The 21,230-nt window shown below is 35.4% G+C and overlaps 1 long non-coding RNA gene across 1 annotated transcript in view; it reads right to left on the bottom strand.

The window, feature by feature from the left end:
- Positions 1–20,654, bottom strand: part of LINC02089 (long intergenic non-protein coding RNA 2089) — a 37,468-nt gene extending 16,814 nt beyond the window's left edge. The window contains exon 1 of the long non-coding RNA NR_146899.1: positions 20,304–20,654. This is a non-coding gene — a long non-coding RNA (long intergenic non-protein coding RNA 2089). The remainder of the gene's footprint in view (positions 1–20,303) is intronic.
- Between the last annotated feature and the right edge of the window lie 576 nt (positions 20,655–21,230).

Raw genomic sequence — 21,230 nt, 5'->3', positions numbered from 1 at the left:
GCTACTGATGGCAAGATAAGAGCCAGAGGATTCCAGTTTCTCTTAGAGGATTTCAACAAAACATATAAAACTTCCAACAAGTAAACCTAAACTTGAATTATTCATAATAATGATAATTATAGCAGTTTGGATACGTGCTATAACATAAATTATTTGTCTACTAGATGACTCTAAGCTTCTAAAGTCTTTAAGAAAATAGAAGGTTGAAACAGGCAAGTGAAACATGAGAAATTTGGAAGCATTCGCTTGGGCAGGACATTGTAATCTATGAAACTTACACAAAAGGGAACTTTGGTTCTGGTTTTATTTCTTCCATTTCTTCAAAGGGTAACTTTGATTTGAGCAAGACATTGAACACTTACAAGGCTTATATGTCTCATGTTTAATGTCTATCTAAATTTTAATTCTAACTTTTAATTATTCCTCTATGCTTATCAACAATGAACAAAATTTGGTTAGGTAGAGGAGAGTAGATGGTAGTAGAAGAGATACAAGCAACACGAAAGATGACGGAGAGTTAGAAGCAACCATGCAGTATGAGGAAGTAAACTGCAACTAGGTTTCTGACTGGAGAGAAAATTTTGCAGCAAGTTGAACAATATCATGTGGCTAGAATTCTAAAGATATGCCAAGTCAAGCAGACAAATTGATTCTCAGGGTGGCTGGTAATAGGAATCCAGTAAGTATTTTTGAACAAATGAGTGACAATATGAAAGTTAAGTTTAAACAAAGGTAGGTTCAGAGAATCCAAGTAGGAAACTATGCCAGCAGTTTCACTGAGGTAATAAGGCATTTTCCCACAGTAGTGGAAATATAAAAGATGAATGGGAATTTTTTTAAGTTAACAGAATGTGGTGGCTACATATATAGATAATAATAATTACCATGTTACCTGGGAAAAACGGTATCATTAACAGAAATAGTAAAGTTGGAAGGGGAGGCTACTTTCACCCTGTTAATGCTAAGCATGGATATTAACATGTACAATATGATATAATTAAAGAACATCCAAATAGAAATGTCCAGGAGTGAGTTAGAGATGAAATACTAGATGCAGCACAATTTTAACAGAGAAAGCCTGGAAGTCTTGAGAATAAAAATAATAGAAATGTTTGCACTCTGTGGAAGTGAAGAATTGAACAGAGGAAAAGAAACAATCCAGGCATCTCTGTTAGATTCTTGAAATCAAATTTTCTCAATATAGGGGAGAAGCAGCAAGAAAAAAATGTAGCGGGGAAAGGAGCATTTGCTGAGCCATGTTTCCCGTTTATTTCCAAACTATATACTAGTCAAATGGCTTAATCAAAAACCATTACCATGAAAGCTGTAAGATCCTAAAACATCTTGAGAAACTCTAAACTGCCTGAGGAAGGCAAGCTATGATTCTCATAGGAGAAAGTATAGTTTCAGAGGCAGAAATAGAGAAGTGTCAAACTTCAAGAACATAAAGAAAAATTGAGAACGAGTTTCTTCTGTTACTTTGTGATTTAAGAAAATAATTTAGTGAAAGCTAGAATGATCCAGCCCTGCTATCTTTTAAATGTACCAAATGTAGAGCACTGGTGCTGGCTTTAACTGAGAAGCTTCTCTGAGATGCAATTATTTCCCTTTCATTCTGCTTCTTAAAAAAAAAAAATAGTCCCTCCACTACCAGCCTGAATCCTGCTCACAACATTGCTATCAAAATTCACCTAAACTAGAGACATGCAAATGAGAAGACAAGGCAGGTGAAAATTTTATCTGAGACTGGGCAACATTTATGTAAGATACAATAACCAATACTTATCTTTCATCTTTTGGATAATAGCCAATCTAACAAGTGTAAGGTGATATCTCATTGTGATTTTAATTTGCATTTCTCTAATTATTAGAGATGTTGAGCATTTTTTTCATATATCTATTGGTCATATGTGTTCTTCTGAGAAATGTCTATTCAAGTACTTTGTCCATTTTTTAAATAGGATTACTTGTTTTCTTCTTATTGAGTAGTATGTGACTCTTGTATATTTTAGATATTAGCTCCTTTTCTGGTGTATGTTTTGCAAATATTTTCTCCAATCTATATGTTGCCTCTTCACACTATTATTTCCTTTACGGTACAAAAGCTTTCTAGTTTGATATAATTCATTGTCTAATTTTGCTTTTGTTGCCTGTGCTTTTGGAGTCATAACATTACCAATTTCTGGAATATAGCAAGCCCTTTTCTTATTGGCAATTATTCAAAGCCCATTTGCTTCCAAACAACAAAGTGCTGAATCCATAAGGGGAAAGAAAGCATGGCTATTAATTCAAATCAAGTGAAACATTTTTAGAAAATATAAAAAACTCCTAAATACTCCAAGTGTTATAAACACTTGTGTTTAAACAAGTCTTACAAACTAACCTACATAATATTAGGTGGAAACTAACAGAAGGGGTGATATCAACTCATGACTGGAAACAAGTGGTGTTTCTAAATTGGAGGGACTAACTCAAATATTAGTCGATACTCTATAGTTTACAGTTTTAGTGTTAGGAGTATTGACTTAAATTTGTTTTTTAAACCTTAAACCAAAGCAACTCCTTAGAGTTCTAATGAAAATTAGTTACATCATACTAAAATGTGAAATGCATGAAGTCAGAAATTTCTATTTTTATTGACTAGATTTACTAATAGTAAATACAACTTTACTATTTTTTTTTAATTTTTTGTTTCCTTTATGTTCCTTCCTTAGAACAGTGCCTGGCACCTGGTAAAAATATTTATAGAATAAATGAATGCATGAATTAAAAACTGAATAATAAAGAGAACGAAATTCTGTGGTAGCTATAACTAGCCTCAAATTTAGGAATATCATATACTGCATTTGCTAATTAATTAGCTAGCTAAAGTAGACTATAAAAATTCTGATTATTGACTTCACACTTTATTTCAAATAATTTAAAGATAACATCAACAAATAAAGTGTCTGTACATTTATTCTGGAGAATTAGCTGAGCAAATTTCAGTATTAGTTTTGTGAAACTCACTTACCAGAAGAATAAAAACTTGAAAATAAAAACTTTGCTTTATTTTATCTTCATACTATTAAGAAACTTGAATATGTTAACAATATTTTTTCTTTTTTTAACTAGGTAATAAAATTAAACATATAGTCATATTGTTAGCTGTCAAATGCGTGATATTTTTAAAAATCAGCAGTCTCTCTCTAAATTAAAATTAAATGTTTATTCTTTCTCTTATTATTTTTTCACCATCTCTGTAGTCTTCTCTCTTTTGTTTTTCCTTTGTTCTCTTGAATTTCCCCCATTTCTTTTTTCTCTAACTCTCCTGTATAAAATTCTAAAATAGATTCTCTTTGCAATTTCCAGTTTTCTTTATCAAAGTTACAAGGTAGGAATATAAGCTCATGTCCAGAATTTTTCACCAGCTTCCCCAAAGAAAATGTATTATTTGTGAGTGAGTGTACTATGTACAGTAGCAAAATGACTTTTCTTCAAGTTTTCTCTTTAGAAGCCTCTAGAAGAATCAACTTATCCATAAACATTTTAGAAAACAAGGATTAGATTTGTTACCTGTATATTATTCCCCTTAGAGCTCAGCTGAATCTCAGCTGAATAACGGCTGATTGTCATTTAACAGCTTCCCTGACCAGTTGGTTCAGCTGCCTTACTATTTGTGTAGCAATAATTTTTCCCTTAGATTTATCTTCCACTTCTGTTTTACATGAAACCCAGAATAGCCTGGTCTTCTAAGGCAGGCACATATTCTGAAGTTCAAAGTAAGACTCCTGAACATTAACTTTTTCAGACTTAATTTTATGAATTTAGATGCATCAGTTGCTCCAACTTCCAACGGTTAGGGTCTTCCCAGCATCAACCTCTAGACACATGAGTAAAAAATCGTTCAGATGACTCCAGCTCCCAGCTTTTCAGTTCTTCCAACAACTGCCAGTTGGGAAGAAAACAACTTTCCCACCATCTTTGGTCCGAATTCCTTACACACAGAATCAGTAACTAAATTAATGGTAATTTCACCATTGTAAATTTTGAGGCAAGTTCTACACAGCATAGTAAATGAACCACTAAATTTTTATCAATTTTACTGATCCTTCCTATGGACAAATGTATGAATTTCAAAAAATGTGATTATGTGCTATTTTTATATTATTGATTTCTTCTATTAGTTTTTCCTGTCCTCTACTTACTTAGGATTTTTCTCTTTTTTTTCTGGTTTTTTAAAATGTAAAAATATATATTTTTTTTCTTTTCTAACATAGGTACTTAAAGCAATAAATTTCTCTCAAGGCACCACTTTAACTGTACTTCACACTTTCTAGCATGCTGTGCTTTAACATCCATTTAGTTCAAAATATTTTCTGGTTTTAGTGTAAAGTGTTTAGGAAAATGCTTAATAGATTACTTTGCCAGTGATGTTCAAGTCACATGGACCTTTTTCTCTACATGCTTTAGCAACTATTGAGTGATATTTTTTAATGTTCGAACAGATTCGCCTTTTTTTTTGTTCAGAGAAAAAAATGCATTAGAAGCCTTTTAGGTGCATACACACTTCAGATTATTATTTCTTCTTAATAGACCATTTACCATTTGGAAAATGCCTTCTTTCTGTTTAGTAATATACTCATCTTGAATACTTTTCTGATGTTAATATAGTCTTTCTGACTCTATTATGACTACATTCATTCTTCAATTATAGAACACGATCTAGTAATGTTTGCTTTATTACTTATGCTGTATTTTCTTTTTTAGTGGGGTAATTTCTATTACACACATGTTGAAAAATATTATTCCTTCCTCCATGATTGTATTCATGCTTAGTTTCTCTATGCTAAATATTGAACAATCCCTTTTTATATCTTTCAAACCACTGATTTTCTTAATACCTAACTGCTTGTTTATACTCTTCTAATTTTTATTTAAATGTATTTAAGTGACTATATATACATACTGACATTTCTTTTTCTAAATAAGCCTATTTTTGTTCATAGTCTTGGGTCTTGATGTTTTGCAGTTTATCTGTTTACTTATTTTATTAGTGATTTCTTTTATATGTATTATCTATCTCAACTGCTTGGGAACAATAATACTCTTCATTGTGTCATCTGTTGAGTCTGTCTCTTGAAGTATTTCCACAGTGTATCATGATTTTTCATGTGGAATATGTTTCAGTAGATTTTTTTCCACACTTTAAAATTCCAAATTCCAGTGCTGTTTAAGTGATTTTTTTCGGAACTATGGTGTGTTTACTTCCAATAAGACCCCAGCTACAACACCAAACAATAAGCAATATTTACAATACTTACTATCGGAATACTCACACTATGTACAAGGTATATTTTCTAGATCAGTCTCATTGAGGTGTAAGTTGTATGTAATAAACTAAAACTATTTTAATGTATTTTAATGGTATGGTTAAATGAGTTTTGCAAATGTATTTAACCATGCAACCAACACCAGAATCAAGATATAGGGTATTCCGTAATCCAACAAGTTTTCTTCTTCCATTTTGTATTCAGTTCCCCCAGACTATTCAATACCAATGTATGTTTTTATAATTATAATTTAAATTCGCCTTACCTAGAGTTTCAAATAAATAGAGATACAATTTCAAATAAAAAGTGCACAACACTTTGGTGGCTAACTTATTTTGCTCAGTATAATGTTTTGAGAGTCATCCATGCGGTCGTTATCAGTAGTTTTTAGTTTATATTCCTCATCAGTATTGCATTTAATAACTGTATTTCAATTTGATTATCCATTCACCCATTGATAGGCATTTGCATTGTTTCCACTTTGGGGCTATAATAAAGCTTCTATGAAGCTTGTTATTCAAGTCTTATATATATATATACATATGCTTTCATTTATCTTGGATAAAAATACCTAGGATTGAAAATTCTGGGCTATATGGTAACCATCTTTAACTTTTTTTTTTTTTTTTTTTGAGACAGAGTCTTGCTCTGTCGTCGCCAGGATGGAGTGCAGTGGCACAATCTCAGCTCACTGCAACCTCTGCCTCCTGGGTTCAAGTGATTCTTCTGCCTCAGCCTCCCAAGTAGCTGGGACTATAGGCATGCGACACCTTGCCCAGCTAATTTTTGTATTTTCAGTAGAGAGGATTTCAGCATGCTGGCCAGGATGGTCTCGATCTCTATTGACCTCGTGATCCGCCCACCTCAGCCCCACAAAGTGCTGGGATTACCAGCCTAAGCCACAGCGCCCAGCCTTTTTTATGAGAAACTGCTGAACTGTTTTTCCAATATAGTTGTGTCATTTTACTTTACCAATAAAAATGTCTAAGACTTCTACTTGTTCCACATGTTCAGTAACACTTAGCACTGGTGTTCATTTTAATTTCAGCCATCTCAGTGGCTGTGCAGCAGTATTGTGTTACGAAAAATTTTTAAATGAAGGTAACATTTATGTACAGTAGAGTCCACTCTTTTAGTGTTCAGTTCTGTGAGTTTTGATAAACACATATAGTCCTTTCACCAGTACAGTCAAGATACAGAGTAGTATTACTCCCCACAAAATTTACCTGTGACCTTTGTAAGATCATACTCTTGCTCCCACCTCCTGCCCCTGCAACAACTGATCTATTTTCTGCCTCTATAGTTTTGTCATTTCCAAAACATGATATAAATAGGGTCATATATTAGATTGCATTTTGAGTTTGGCTTTTTTGTAGCATAATACACTTGAGATTTAGCGATAGTATTGCACTTGTATTGCACATATGTGTTTTTGGTAATTATGAATGAATTTCATGCTTATTTATTATCCATTGAATTCTCAGGCTCACCAACTCACTCATGTTAAAGTTACACCGTTGATCAGGAAGGAGGGAGACCTTGAAACTTGAAATAGAGTCGTCTGGTTGGACGCAGGCAAAGCAGAGATTCTCAACCCATTGAGCCCCCCTTGTCAATGGAAACAGCTTTCTCCACTATGTGTGAGGGGACTTACAAATCTGTTCCTAAGTAGCACACTAGCAATGTCTTTAAATTACATTATATAGATATTGTTTTTCAAATTAACAAAACAAGAGGGTATACAAAGATTCTTCATGGTTGGCCATGGTCTCTTGTTAAATCTTAATTCTAGATTTGAAAATCCAAAATAGAAAGGCGTTAAGACCACTGTAGAGTTGGAAATACTCTGTGTCACATTTGAGAAGTTTAAGCATTATTCTCTACCTTGGTTTTGTATAGATTACTGGCATAGCATTTGGGGAAGGAATCATAGCTTTTAGGTAGTAAAAGGGTCATGACAGCTAAAATTCCTCTTATTACTGTCTCATCACATACTCCAACCACATCATTTTCTTGACTAGTTGTTCTGTTTTGTGCTAAATCACTAAATCTAGGGCACTGTTGTCTCAGGTGTGCAGCTGCAGTTCATTTATCTGGGTCTGCTGCAGTAGAATACGTAATAATATTCCTTTCTGTTCTCTTCTTGCCCCTTCTTCAATGAAGACCCTAAAGAGAATCTCTAGATTTCCGGAACAAAGTTTCTTTTTATTTAATATTCTTTAGGTAACTGGGGAAAATGCAAAGAGAATAGGAATCAAGCTCGAGAGATCAGTATTTAAAATTTAGCTTTACCCCCACTTGGGCAACAAACAAAGTTTCAACAAAGTTTTTAAATAAATATTATACTACCTGGCATACACTGTTATTTTATATAGTAAATTAGATACCATGTATACCAATATCTAGCCCAAACTCTGACACTTAGTAAATGCTGATGGATGACTTATTATTAAAACTATGCTCACTGAGAAAAAATGAAATATAAATCTAGGTTTGCCTATGTATATTTTGTTCTTTGACATAATCATTCATATTTGAAATTATCATTTATTTTTATGATAAAAATTAGCACTTATTATTTATCAGACTGTGTATGGGTTTACCACTGTGGACAAAATACTGTGACTATCCCTGAGATGTTCATTCTAAAATAAACTAGTGGAGAATCTACAGAGCAGTATGTTCTTAACACTGTAGGGCAGCTTAACATTTGTTATAACAATTAACATTTATTCAGTGCACTTTCTTGCCTGACATACTTAATTTGAAGAAGAGTATGCGAATAGGGGCAGAAGTATGTTAGCAGAGGTGATTCTGACCTGTGATTTCAAGCATCTTGCAGTCCTTCATCTTTAGTGTGGGTGTGCCTTTTCATTTCAGATATAGGCTTTGCCAAAGAAGGTAAAGCAACTAAATCATGTGTAATACATATTAGGATTTCAAAATATATTCTACCAAAGAATTAATGACTCTAGAGAAATAAAATATATTTTCTTTAGTTTGAAGTCAGCTCAGAAAAAAACCCACCTTTTATCAAAATGCAACAGAGGGGAGAAGATAAAGCAATCTTTGAAATTATATAGGGGGTGGTTGTTCAGGGAGATTTAGTGCATTAGCAAGAAAATTGAGCATTCTTAAGTGAAAGAAGGTAAAGGCCTAATACACTGAGAAATTAGGTAAAAAGACCAACCTCAGAGTATTCAAGTTAAAATGCCCAAGACCCACTGGGAGCCTAAGAACCATGTCTGCCATAGTCTACCAGCTGGAAGATAAATTAATTAAAAATGAATTAAAGGTTAGTATATGCAAGGATTTCTTTACAGAAATACTAAATGAATTTCATATTTGAGAAAGCCTACACAGCAACAGTAGATATTAATATCAAATTTGTAAGTTAATAAATTTTAGCAAATATTCTTAAGATATCATATTCTAAAAAAGAGTTTTTTAAAAACCACATGATATTACTATGCCAGTAAAATCTTCATGTTCCTCCAAAACAATGTGTAGGCTTATTGTTCCAAGTGGTCAGTACTCTGGGAAAACTAAGAGGAAAATTTAATTTTGAGGAATTTCTTGTAGATATCTTTTCCAGTATTTTGTCTTCCCTCCTTACCTGTGAACCCATGTTGGAGCAAACATTTCTTTACATCTTTCTGTAGTTACATATATCTCTATAGTTGTATTGGGAAAATAAAATTCTTTTTCTGAATCTGGGAATCTATATGTAAGGTCACCAAACATGAGGAATTGAAGACAAGCATCATGATTGTCTATGGTGGACTTCCTTGAAAATTTATACTTCTTGAAATATAAGAAAATTACTACAATTAAATGTATTTCTTGGAAACACATTTCTAGATTTATTGGGAAAAGAACTTATTAATAAAATATTGATAAAATGGTAGGCAAAAGACTAAGGTTAGAATGGATCAGCTCAATTTATAAACTTATTAGTGGTGGAACCATGGGGAACTTGCTTCAGCTCTCTGGGTCTCAGTTTTCTCATTTGTAAAATGAGAGTGATAATAGTACTTACATCATAGAATTGTTATCAGAAATAAATGAGTTAATAACTATAAAGCACTTAAAAGAGTGCTTCCCACATAGTGAACTTTGCATTTGTGTTAAATAAAAACATAAAGACTCCAATATTAGAAAATTAAAAATAGGATGGAGATAATCTTAGTATGTTTAGAGATTATGATGCCACAGAGCACTGGCTCAACAATACATGATCTATGATGAAATATCATTATGGAATCTCTCAATATTAATAGCCAGATGAGCCTTCTAATGACCCCCAGCTAATTAAACTGATGAGAGAAAATAAGAAAAGAAGTGACTCAACAAAGTGAGATACAAGGACTAAATTGCCCAAGACTGATCCCTGTAGCTTGGACTCCCGGGAAGCAAGTTTGTATCCTGCAGAGGAGAATATTTTAGAAAACGAGACCTGCTCAATGGAAAGCAGATACATCAAAGCGCATAAGGCAGTCAATTCTGGTAGGATGCTGAGGTTGTGGGGCTAGAAGCCAAATCATGTAGCCACTTTGCATGTCCTAGACCTTTGATGGTGCCAGGGAAAGGATTGGTGCTCCGAGTGAGGGCAAGAGGATGCAGCTGTGCTACATCCCACTGCTGCAACACGAGACTTGTGGTCAAGCTACTGATTATGCTGAATAGGGTGTGGCTTGTGTTTTCCTAATCAAGCATATTAAATGCTTCACAATTCAAGAGCCAATGGTCCTGTCCCAAACTCTGACATTTCTTCTTGCTAAATTCCTCTGTGCTGTCTGAGAACAAAAGAGGCTGTGGAGGAATCATGCGTCAGCTATAGCTCTAGTGACTGAATTTTCACCTCCTGTGGTTGCTGTCTGATGATTTGCCCGCATTTGCTTGACAGAGGTTTTAAGCAAAACTTAAGCTTGGTCCGCCATCTTCTTTCACAGTTTCAAAAGTATTGATGAAACGTGGGATACAATCTTTCTCACAGTGGTGAGGTAGCAGCATTTTAGGCTACAACCCATGTTCATGCTACACTAACAGCTCAGAGTGCCACTGTGCTACATAGAGAGAAACGACATTCCTGAGAAGGTGGACTTAGTGAGCTGGACCACAGAATCTCAACAGTTTTAAAGTCCATAGTGAATGATTAGAATGGAAGGGGAAAAAAGGTCGAAAAGTACAATCGAAAGAGAAGAAGGGAGGAGGAAAATAAGGAAGAAAAATGAAGGAACCCAATTGGTGCCCTGAGCATAGGAGAGATGTTTGATTAAAACGAGACTGTTAGGCCAGGCGCAGTGGTCCAAACCTGTAATCCTAGCACTTAGGGAGGCCAAAGCAGGTGGATCACTTGAGCTCAGGGAGTTCAAGACCAGTGTGAGAATATGACAAAACCCCATCTCCACAAAAAAATACAAAAATTAGCCCGGCATGGTGCCACATGCCTACAGTCCCAGCTACTCAGGAGGCAGAGGTGAGACAATCACCTGAGCCTGGGTAGGTTGAAGCTGCAGTGAGCCATGATCGTGCCATTGCACTGCAGCTGGGCGACTGAAAGAGAGACCCTGTCTCATAAAAATAAATAGATAAAAAATAATTGCTAATGAAATTATATCCCTGGTACCCTTGCAACTTTGGTCTTTGCCATAACTGGTATAAATGTAAGGCACTGCAGTACAAAAGACTGCAGAAATTTCTTGAGAATGAAGTTGTGATCCATCTACTACTCTGTAAGAGTTTATCTAATCATTTATTCATTCAAGAAATATATACATATATTTTTTGAGATGGAGTCTCGCCTTGTCACCCAGGTTGGAGTGCAGTGGTGCGATCTCAGCTCACGGTAAGCTCCACCTCCCGGGTTCCCGCCATTCTCCTGCCTGAGCTTCCCGAGGAGCTGGGACTACAGGCACCCACCACCACGCCCAGCTAATTTTTTGTATTTTTAGTAGAGACGGGGTTTCACCGTGTTAGCCAGGATGGTCTCCATCTCCTGAACTCGTGATCCACCTGCCTCAGCCTCCCAAAGTGCTGGGATTACAGGAGTGAGCCACTGCGCCAGGCCTCAAGAAATAATTTTTAAACACTTATAATGTTCTTGATGCTCTTCTATGTACTGGTGAACGAAACAAAATTAAAAAGTCCTCCCTTATATAATCTTCATTTTACTGAGAATATGCAAATAATGTTTATGTTTATATGTGTATGTATATGTATATATATGTGGTGTACTCACTTATCAACTGTGAGATATCAGATGATAATAAAGAGAATCAAAAGAAAGTTGGATAAGGGATAGTGTCATATTTTAACTTCAGATAATGTTATCTGAGGAGTCTCCTCTGAAAAATGTGAATGTTGAGTAAAGATCTGTAAGAGTGGGAATTAATTATTTGCTATAAGGGGGAAAGTGACCTAGGTAGGGAAAACAGCTACAAACACCCTGACACGAAAGTCAAAGCTGCACTGAATGCAAAACAAGAAAGCGAAGTAAGGGCAGGAGAATGTTGGGAGGTGGGGAATTTAGCCAGAAGCTCAGTAATGGAGGACCCTATTGCCATGCAGAGGGATTTTAAGCAGAGAATTCATGTGACTGTAATCTTTTTTTAAAAAAATAATTTCAACTTTTATTTCAGATTCACGGGTACATGTGCAGGTCTGTTACATGGTGTATTGCCTGATGCTGAGGTTTGGGGTACCTACCCATGATCCCATCACCCAGGTAGTGAGCATACTACCCAATAGGTAGTTTTTTAGTCCACGCCTTCCTCTCTTCTTTCCCCCTCTAGTAATCCCCAGTGTCTGTTGTTTACATCTTATGTGTATGTGTACTCAACGTTTTCCTCCCACTTATAGGTAGAAACACATGGTATTTGGTTTTCTGTTCCTGACTGTGATCTTAATAAACTGCTTTTTCTTTTGAGACGGAGTCTTGCTCTGTTGCCCAGGCTTGAGTGCAGTGGTGCAATCTTGGCTCACTGCAACCTCTGCCTCCCGGGTTCAAGCAATTCTCCTGCCTCAGCCTCCTGAGTAGCTGGGATTACAGGCTCCCCCCATCGCGCCCGGATAATTTTTGTATTTTTAGTAGAGATGGGGTTTCACCATCTTGGCCAGGATGGTCTCAAACTCCTGACCTCATGATCCACTTGCCTCGGTCTCCCAAAGTGCTGGGATTACAGGTGTAAACCACCGCGCGTGGCCTGAACTGCATTTTTAAAGGAGCACTAAGACTGTAGAAAGAACAGGCGGAATGAGACTTGAAATAGTCCTGATGTTGTTGGCCTCAACCACAAGGAGCACTGAAGACTGTGAGCAGTAGTTGATTCTCATTATGTTTCTAAGGCACAGCTAACAGGATTTGTTGCTAGAGAGGTCATGTGAAAATGTTCGTAAATACTGAGAGTTTAGGATACTTTCCTGTTGCATTTTCATAAATGAGATTGGCATTTAATCTTCAAAGTGAAGATACAAATTATGTTTAATATGATATTCTATACAAGATCATCTGTGACAAGAGTGCTTAGTCCAAATTCTAGAAATTCCCTAGAATGTTAAAATAGTACAATACAAAAATGCATATAACTTGAAAGGAGGAATAAAAAAAGGAAAAACATGATGTATTCCTTCCCACCTCTCAACATGCTAAAATATCGCTTTTCAAAGAAATGTACAAAAGGAAATAGATTTGAAAATAATAAGTCTTAGGAAAAATTGGATTTTTAATAACATTATTGTTTTGATGATAAATAGGTAAACCAATTCAAGGAGGATGGTTCCTTATGATTTGGAATGAGCAACCACCTTAGAAAAACCTTTTAAGTGTGGATTTTTATAGTGAATAGCTGTGCCTCGGAAACTGAAGAAACTGGCTTTCCTATCCTTTAATGACAGACCACTGCAATAGGCTGGGCTGATTTGTCACTTTTCAGCAAATGTCTGTCAGGTACATAAAAGTGAGTAGGAGCTGAGTTCCCCCTTCTTTTGTGGGAAGACTGAGCTAAATGTGGTCAGCTCTGAAAATTCATAGATTGATAACCTTACAGTCAATCAAGCAGGATATGATCAAAAAATGATCCAATAATGAAATGCTAATGTTCACCCACAGATATTACTTTCTGAAGGACTCATCTAGAAGTAGATGGGGACCTGTTCTCTGAGAGAGGATGTTTTCTCTTACCCGGGCAAAACATATTCTTTTAAATGTGTCTATATGGTATCAGTGGCCGACATACAGAGCTGACTAAGATAAAATGTCCACACAGGAGGAGTAAATAATTCATTACAATTCAACATGAGAAATGTATAGACTGTAGGAGTCTTTAGGGCTGTTTACATATTTCACACAAAGCTGTTCTCACCATTTAGTCATCTCGTAGGGCTTGCATTTTTCCATTTCCTTTGAAGTTAGCAGAGGTCATTTGAGTTGCTTCATTCAAAAAAAATGTGAATGAAAATGATTTTGGTCACTTCTGCATAGGGGCCCTAAGAAACAGATCATGATCCACCATTCTTTCCTGCCGCAGTGATTGGGTAAGCACAGTTCCTGTTGTAGCCTCCATCACCTGGGATCCTGAGTGGCTAATGAGAAGCAGAGCCCCCTTGCCAACCTCCACTGGCTATGTCGTGTGAGCAGAGTTCACAGCTATTGTTTCAGGGCTGACACAAATGTAGAAATGGTGCCATAAGATATTAGAATAGTCAAATTAAAGATTTCAAATAAGGGTCCTGGAGTCTTGAGAGCTCGGAGCTGAGCCTCGACAAGTTAGTAGGAGTAAGGTGAATGGAAAGTTCTTATAGTGTAAAACCGGCCATACAGAAAAGAGAATGACATGTTAGGAAAACTGCAGCATGGTTCATCATGACTGGAGATCAATAAAGTGTCCATAATATTGGAAAAGTATGTAAAGATTAATAGTGGACCTTTTTGACAGACTTATTTATAGTTATTTACTTTTGTAGAGATGATTTAAGTTTTTATTAAGTGCTTGAAGCATACAAAAACATCTAAAGCATATGATAAACACTATGTAACCGACAAACAGCTTAAAAATAAATTAAAAATATACTTAAAGCTCCCTGTATGTAAAATTATTCATTCACCTTCTTTTCATCACCACACGTAATCATTATCCCAAATATTACTCTATGAGCAGTGTAATCCTAAACAATATACATTATTTTATTTATTTGTAGAAGATATATAATATCATATTGTATTTTTTTTAATTATTCTATTTTTAAAATTAGTCTGTATTCTGGCATAAGCATAAGACACTCATTTAAAATGCTGTATAAAAAGGTGGTATACATACACTATGGAATACTATTCAGCCTTACAAAAGATGGAAACACTGTCACTTGCAACTACATGGATGAACCTTGAAGACATTATGCTAAGTGACAAATACTACATGATATTACTTATATGTGGAATCTAAAAAAGTCAAGTCATTGATGCAGACTCTGGAATGGTGATTACCAGAGGCTGGGGAGGTGGAGGGGATTGGGGTGAAGTTGGTCTAAGGATACAAAATTTCACTCAGCCAGGCAGAAATAAGTTCAAGAGATGTATCGTACAACATAGTGAATATAGTAACAATGTATTGTACACTTGAAAATTGCTACCAGAGTAGATTTTAAGTGTACTCACCACAAATGTATGAGATAATGCATGTTAATTAGCTTGGTATAGACATTCTGCAATGTATACATATTTTAAAACAACATGTTGTACACCATAAATATATATAATTTTCATTTGTCAACTAAGAAATAAAAATGAAATACTGTATAGTATTCCGTTATTTGAATATAATAATTTTTCTCTTTATTGTCCTACAATATGGCATTTAGATCATACACTATTACAAACAATGGCACACCATTTTGCAAATATCTCCTACACATGTGCAAGAGATTATCTAGAATGTATACCTGAGTGTGAAATCACTGATTCTAAGAGTATGCAAATCTTGAATTTAACTAGATACTGCTAAATGAAGAGAAGAATTTAGACTTATCCCAGAAGCCAAAGGAAACTCTTGAAGGATATTTAAGCAAGGCCATCAACATGATCAGATTTTTTTTAGAAATTTGTAGCAGAATATGTAGACTTTATCAGGCTTGAGCAAAAATTTATGAAGATGTGAACTAAGGCAGGGCTCAAAGCAGTAGAAAAAAAATAGGAAAATCACAAGACATTAGGTAGCTAAATGAGGAAGAGAGAAATAGTACATTCGGTTTCTATATTTATTAGCAGGCCTGTACTCTGTTCCTGCTTCTATTTCTGAGTTTCTTCATGCACTTAGGTAAATTATTATTTATCTTTCTTCACATATTTTTCTTAGTTGAAGGCAGAGAGCTATTTTGTATTGCTAACCCACTGCACGTAAGACATCTTTTTAGGGTATTTGTGAAAGCATATTATAATGTTGGAGTTACTCTTTTAGAGTCAGATTCTTCTTCTTCTTCTTACTATTACTATTATTAGTGAGATAGGGTCTCATTCTGTCACCCAGGCTGGAGTGTAGCAGCACAATCTTGGCTCACTGCAATCTCCACCTTCCCAGGCTCAAGTGATCCTCCCACCTCAGCCTCCCAGGTAGCTGGAACTACAGGTACACACCACCACACCTGGCTATTTTTTTTTTTTTTTTTAATTTTTAGTAGAGACGAGGGTTCACCATGTTGCCCAGGCTGGTCTCCAATTTCTAAGTTCAACAGATTCGCCTGCTCTGAGATTACAGGCATGAGCCCTAAATTTAAATCTATGTGTGAACTCTCCTTCTTCTGTTTCTTATTCTGTTCAACAGAGATGATAATAATATTCACTTCACTGGATTGTCATTAATATTAATAAAATATTTAAAGAACATATAGAAGTTACTGTGGCATATAGAAGTTACTAACAAAGCTATTGTTATTTTAATTATAGAATCAAATCTGAAAGTAGGTGATAGCATCCCCTAGTAAAGAATACTCACATCTAGAAAATTTGATTAAACTATCCAGAAGTTTGACTAGAAATCAGGAGATTTAGGATTTGAAAATGATATTGTTTCCACTAAGGCACATTCCCCATAGTTTCTTCCCTATTTATCGGGTCCCCATTCCCTTTTTTTTTTTTTTAAGTTTAATGGACCGTTCTTATTTTCCTCTTCACTCCACTATTACTCTATAATATAATTTATATTTTTTTCACTTTTGAAAAAGGGAATTTAGATTTTATAGCTTTTATATGAAGTTCTTAGGATAAAGTCTGGACTTGCATGGATTTTCAAACTTTAACCCTTACCTCCTGCCAGATGAAGGGAAAACAAGTTATTATTTAACACTGTGTAAATGGGAGAGTTAGAGGGCATAGAAGTTGTACACTAATATGAATTTATATTCTGTAACAATCAATTTGAATATGAAAATATAGAATGTGCTTAGTTAGCAAAAGATTTACAAAGAAAAATATACGTGTTTTTGGTTACGCTAAGATAGTAAATTGTGCCAGTGACTCAGAAAAATGGGTAGAAATAAGGATTAATTGAATACTTTTACTGATGAGCCAAAATATATACCCATATGTTTATGATTTTTTCTGTCTAGCGTACTTTAGGGGATCTCCAATAATTTTATTTGCAACTGCTTACTTTAAAAATTTAAAAATTTGTGGTAAAACACACGGTGGGTTACTTCATGTGTGCAGCTTTCAAGTTAAACGATGTCTTTACATTAGCTAATATTGGCGGCGATACTGGGCAATATCTGGAGACATTTTGATTGTCACAATTATAAGAGAGTGCTACAGGCATCCACTGGGTAGAAGCCAAAGATGCTACTAAACATCCTAGAATGGACACGAAACTCCTCCCAGAAAGGAATTATCCATGCCAATGTTTCAATGATGTGGAGATTAAGAAAACCTGTCCTGTATTTATGGCAGGTTGAAGTTTCATATCACCCTAACTTTTGATCACAAAGCTGTTTATCGTGGAATTATCTTGAATTTTTGGCCTTTCAATTTCAGCCTGATCCCAAAGCAGAACACATTAACCGGACAATTGTAGGGTGCCGGGTGTTAAAATCAACTGTTTAAAAATAACAATAAACAGCGGTACACCGCTACTCAGCTACAATTAGAACATTGATAAATACTCATTGCTCATAATGTCCTATTGGCATTAAAGCATGATATGATAAATGATCACATAGTTAATTGTTTCACTACAGCTTCAACATTTAAATATATAGTTTTGGAAGCAATTAATTCAAAGTGGATTCGTGTTTAGGCAGGATTGTGATAAATAAAATGTCAACAGTGGCATAGAAATCTAGCTGCTCTCAGCATAAGCAGTTTATCCTACACACAAATATACTGTGTTCTTTACATTTCTCATTTTTGTCATTGTCACCAACATTATAAAGAACAATGAGCATTGTTTAGACAAAAAATAAATGGACCTTATTTTCCCTAACCCACCTAACTGAAATTGATTTATATATCCAAAGTAATGTTTGTATGACTCCATATGAAAGAGGCTAATAGCTGGATCATGATATGTATGTCTACATCACACGTATCATGAAGTACATCTCATTTATACCTGACCATTCCTCACTGCGTTATTGCATTTGATCTGTCCTCCCTCCAACACATTGTGGTCCACATCATCAGTTATCATAAATACAAACACACAGCTCTCAGCATGTTAGTCACATATTTTAAAACTACAAATTTCATCCCCTTGCCAATAGAATAAATGCCTAGTGAAGCACACAAAATTATTTTCTTTTGGGTAACAACCTAAGTATCCAGCTTTATCCCTAGTTTCCTTCCCTCTCCTTTACCTTTTAAATGGATTTAAGAGTTTTCATTCTTGGTCAAATCAGCCTATTATTTTTTCATATACATACTATTTTCTCTTACTCGATGGCTTTTTTGCACTCATCCATTAAGTAATTTACTTTTCAAGGCCCAGCTCAAATAACATCCTCTTTGGACACCCTGCCTCTACTTCACACTGTGGCTACATCATGTTCCCTTTTGTTTCACAAGTTCATAGCCATTTTGTTGCTTATACTTAAGACTTCTTTATGGTTTTCTATGTTTGGGGATAACTTAATACATACTTCTAAGCAGTTTATTTCATCTTTTTCCATGATTAACTTTCATCAAAGCATCTACCATTTGGGGAAAAAACAATGTCACGCTATTTGTTGTTGTGACAGTGGTGCGTTCACCAAAAGATAAAGGATTCAAGTAACAGCGCAAATTGTACTCCTACTGGTCCCTGGCTCACCAACTTGGTATTAGAGGATAGAAATAATATCCAATCCTAAAGTCACAATTTTAATTTGTGGAGCACACCGTCACATTATTTCTTCTCAGTATACGTTGTACAATAATGTTGATGAATTAACATATTGCATTTGATGAATTTTCAGCTAATGGTAAGGGGTATTATAAATGATTTTGAATGGAAGGTGGTTATTATTACTCCGAAAGTGTTTTAGAAAGCATTAACATTAAGTGCATATTGATAGAAAGGGCACACGCATTTTAGCCATTTAATACATTTCTAATACCAACTAGAAGTGGCATAAAATAAGCTATCAATATTGAATAAATGTTCTAGCAACATAAATTATAAATTTTAAGTGACTGGCATAAAATATGCATAAAACATGGTGCTTATTAGTAGTCTTACACAGTTTCCTTTCTAAAAAGCCATTAATATTGTGATGACCTTAGGTAAACAGTAACAAGCTTTAGAGAGAGCCATCCATTAAGCCATTCTAAATTTAACATAGAGTAAATTCCATAATTAGAGATGTTCCTGCACACACAAACATGGCCTGAAGAAAATTTTAGGCGAAAAAATATTCTGTGAAACTGAGGGGAACCTCAAAGTGATGTAAAAGAAAAGGCTTTATGCTCTGTCTCCTGATTTATCACTATCATTTGCTCAATCTAAAATTAATGAAATAATCTATACAACAAACCCCCAAGTCACAGGTTTACCTACATAACAAATCTACACACATAGTCCTGAACTTACAATGAAAGTTAAAATAAAATAAATAAATAAATATTTCTACTTTTTCTTTTCCTTTTTTCCTATTCTGGTCTATACAAAATGATTTTTTTCACTGATGTCACAGAGGAAATTCTCTGAGAATTACAGTTAATCAGACGTAAGTTTAGAATTCCAGCTGCCCCAAATCTTGCTAGGTGTGTGATCTCAGCAAATTACAAAACCTTATTAAAACCCAGTTTCCCTAGCTATAAAATGGGAACACAGCAGTAACTGCACCATGGGATTGCCATAAGCATGGAATGGAATGTGCCTAGAACTCCATTATAGTCATGGTTCAGTAAATAAATGTTACTGTCTTGTTTTCTCTTCCTTCTTGTTTTTTGTAGCCTAAGTCGAACCTCAAAGAAAGTAGTATTTTCAAACTAAGCAAAATTTTATGGTTGATGTTTTCTGTTACGACAAGTTGGGATGAATTTATAATTCTAGTATTTTGTTTATTTATATGTAAGATACAAATTGTTTAAGCAATATTACTTAATAACTACTCTTTAGTTATTAACTACTCTAGCACTGTCTAATACATTAGCTACTAGGCACAGGTGGTAACTGAGCATGCAAAATGCAGGTAGTCTAAATTGAGACGTGCTGTGAGTGAACAAGACGCACCGCATTTTAAAGACCTATGAAAAACATAGAATATCTCATTTCTTATATTAATTACACGATAAAACAATATTTTGTATATAATGAGTTAAAATGTGTTATTAAAATTAATTTAGTCAGCATCACTTACCCGTTTAAGTCGTGTTTTATAGAAAACAAAAACTGCGTATGTGTCTTGCATTACATTTCTTTTGGACTGCTTTTTAACTGGCCGACCAGTGCCTGGTATTTAGCCCCCAAATTCTAAGGAAAATTATGACACAATAGCAAGCCAAAGAGGTCCGATGGTACTCACCGCTTGGTGATAGTCGATTTTCCCTTTGTGGTCGCCAAAATGTGTCCGGAATTGGTTCCTTCTGGTGGGTTCTTCGTCTCATTGCTTCAAGAATGAAGCCACAGACCCTTGCGGTGAGTGTCACAGTTCTTAAAGATGGTGTGTCCGGAATTTTTTCCTTCAGATGTTCAGATGTGTCCAGAGTTTGTTTCTTCCTTCTGGTGGGTTCATGGTCTTGCTGACTTCAGAAATGAAGCCGCAGACCTGCACAGTCAGTCTTACAGCTCATAAAGGTAGTGCAGACCCAAGGACTGAGCACCAGCAAAATTTACTGCGAAGAGCAAAAGAACAAACAACCCACACACCGGAAGGAGACCTGAGCGCAGTTGCCTCTACCAGTTTGGGTGGCCAGCTTTTATTTCCTTATTTGGCCCCACCCTCATACTGCTGATTGGTCCATTTTACAGAGTGCTGATTGGTCCATTTTACAGAGTGCCAATTGGTCCATTTTACAGAGTGCTGATTGGTCCGTTTTTACAGAGTGCTGATTGGTGCGTTTACAAATCTTTAGCTAGACACAGAGTGCTGATTGGTGCATTTACAATCCTTTAGCTAGACAGAAAAGTTCTCCAAGTCCTCACCCAACCCAGGAAGTCCAGCTGGCTTCACCTCTCACCTTTGGTGACTTTGGGGCCACTGTTGACTACCAGGTTAGCAATTAGAAAGGTGAGCTGAATACAAAACAGAGGAGAAGCAGGACATGCATGGTTTTCCAGGCATCATGCATCTGTCACCCTGTCTAACCACAAAACCTCTCTGAAATTAGTAGTTTTTGTGTCACATTGCCTTTTTAATTTTGCACAAATACTCAACTCCAGCATCGTCCCATACAAAGGAGGGAATTCTAGCAAGCAAAGTTTTAGCCTTAGCCATGTTGACATAACACAA

This window comes from Homo sapiens, chromosome 17, assembly GCF_000001405.40.
Source record: "Homo sapiens chromosome 17, GRCh38.p14 Primary Assembly".
Classification (NCBI taxonomy): Eukaryota; Metazoa; Chordata; class Mammalia; order Primates; family Hominidae; genus Homo; species Homo sapiens.
This window is presented reverse-complemented; position numbering and strand designations above follow the sequence as displayed.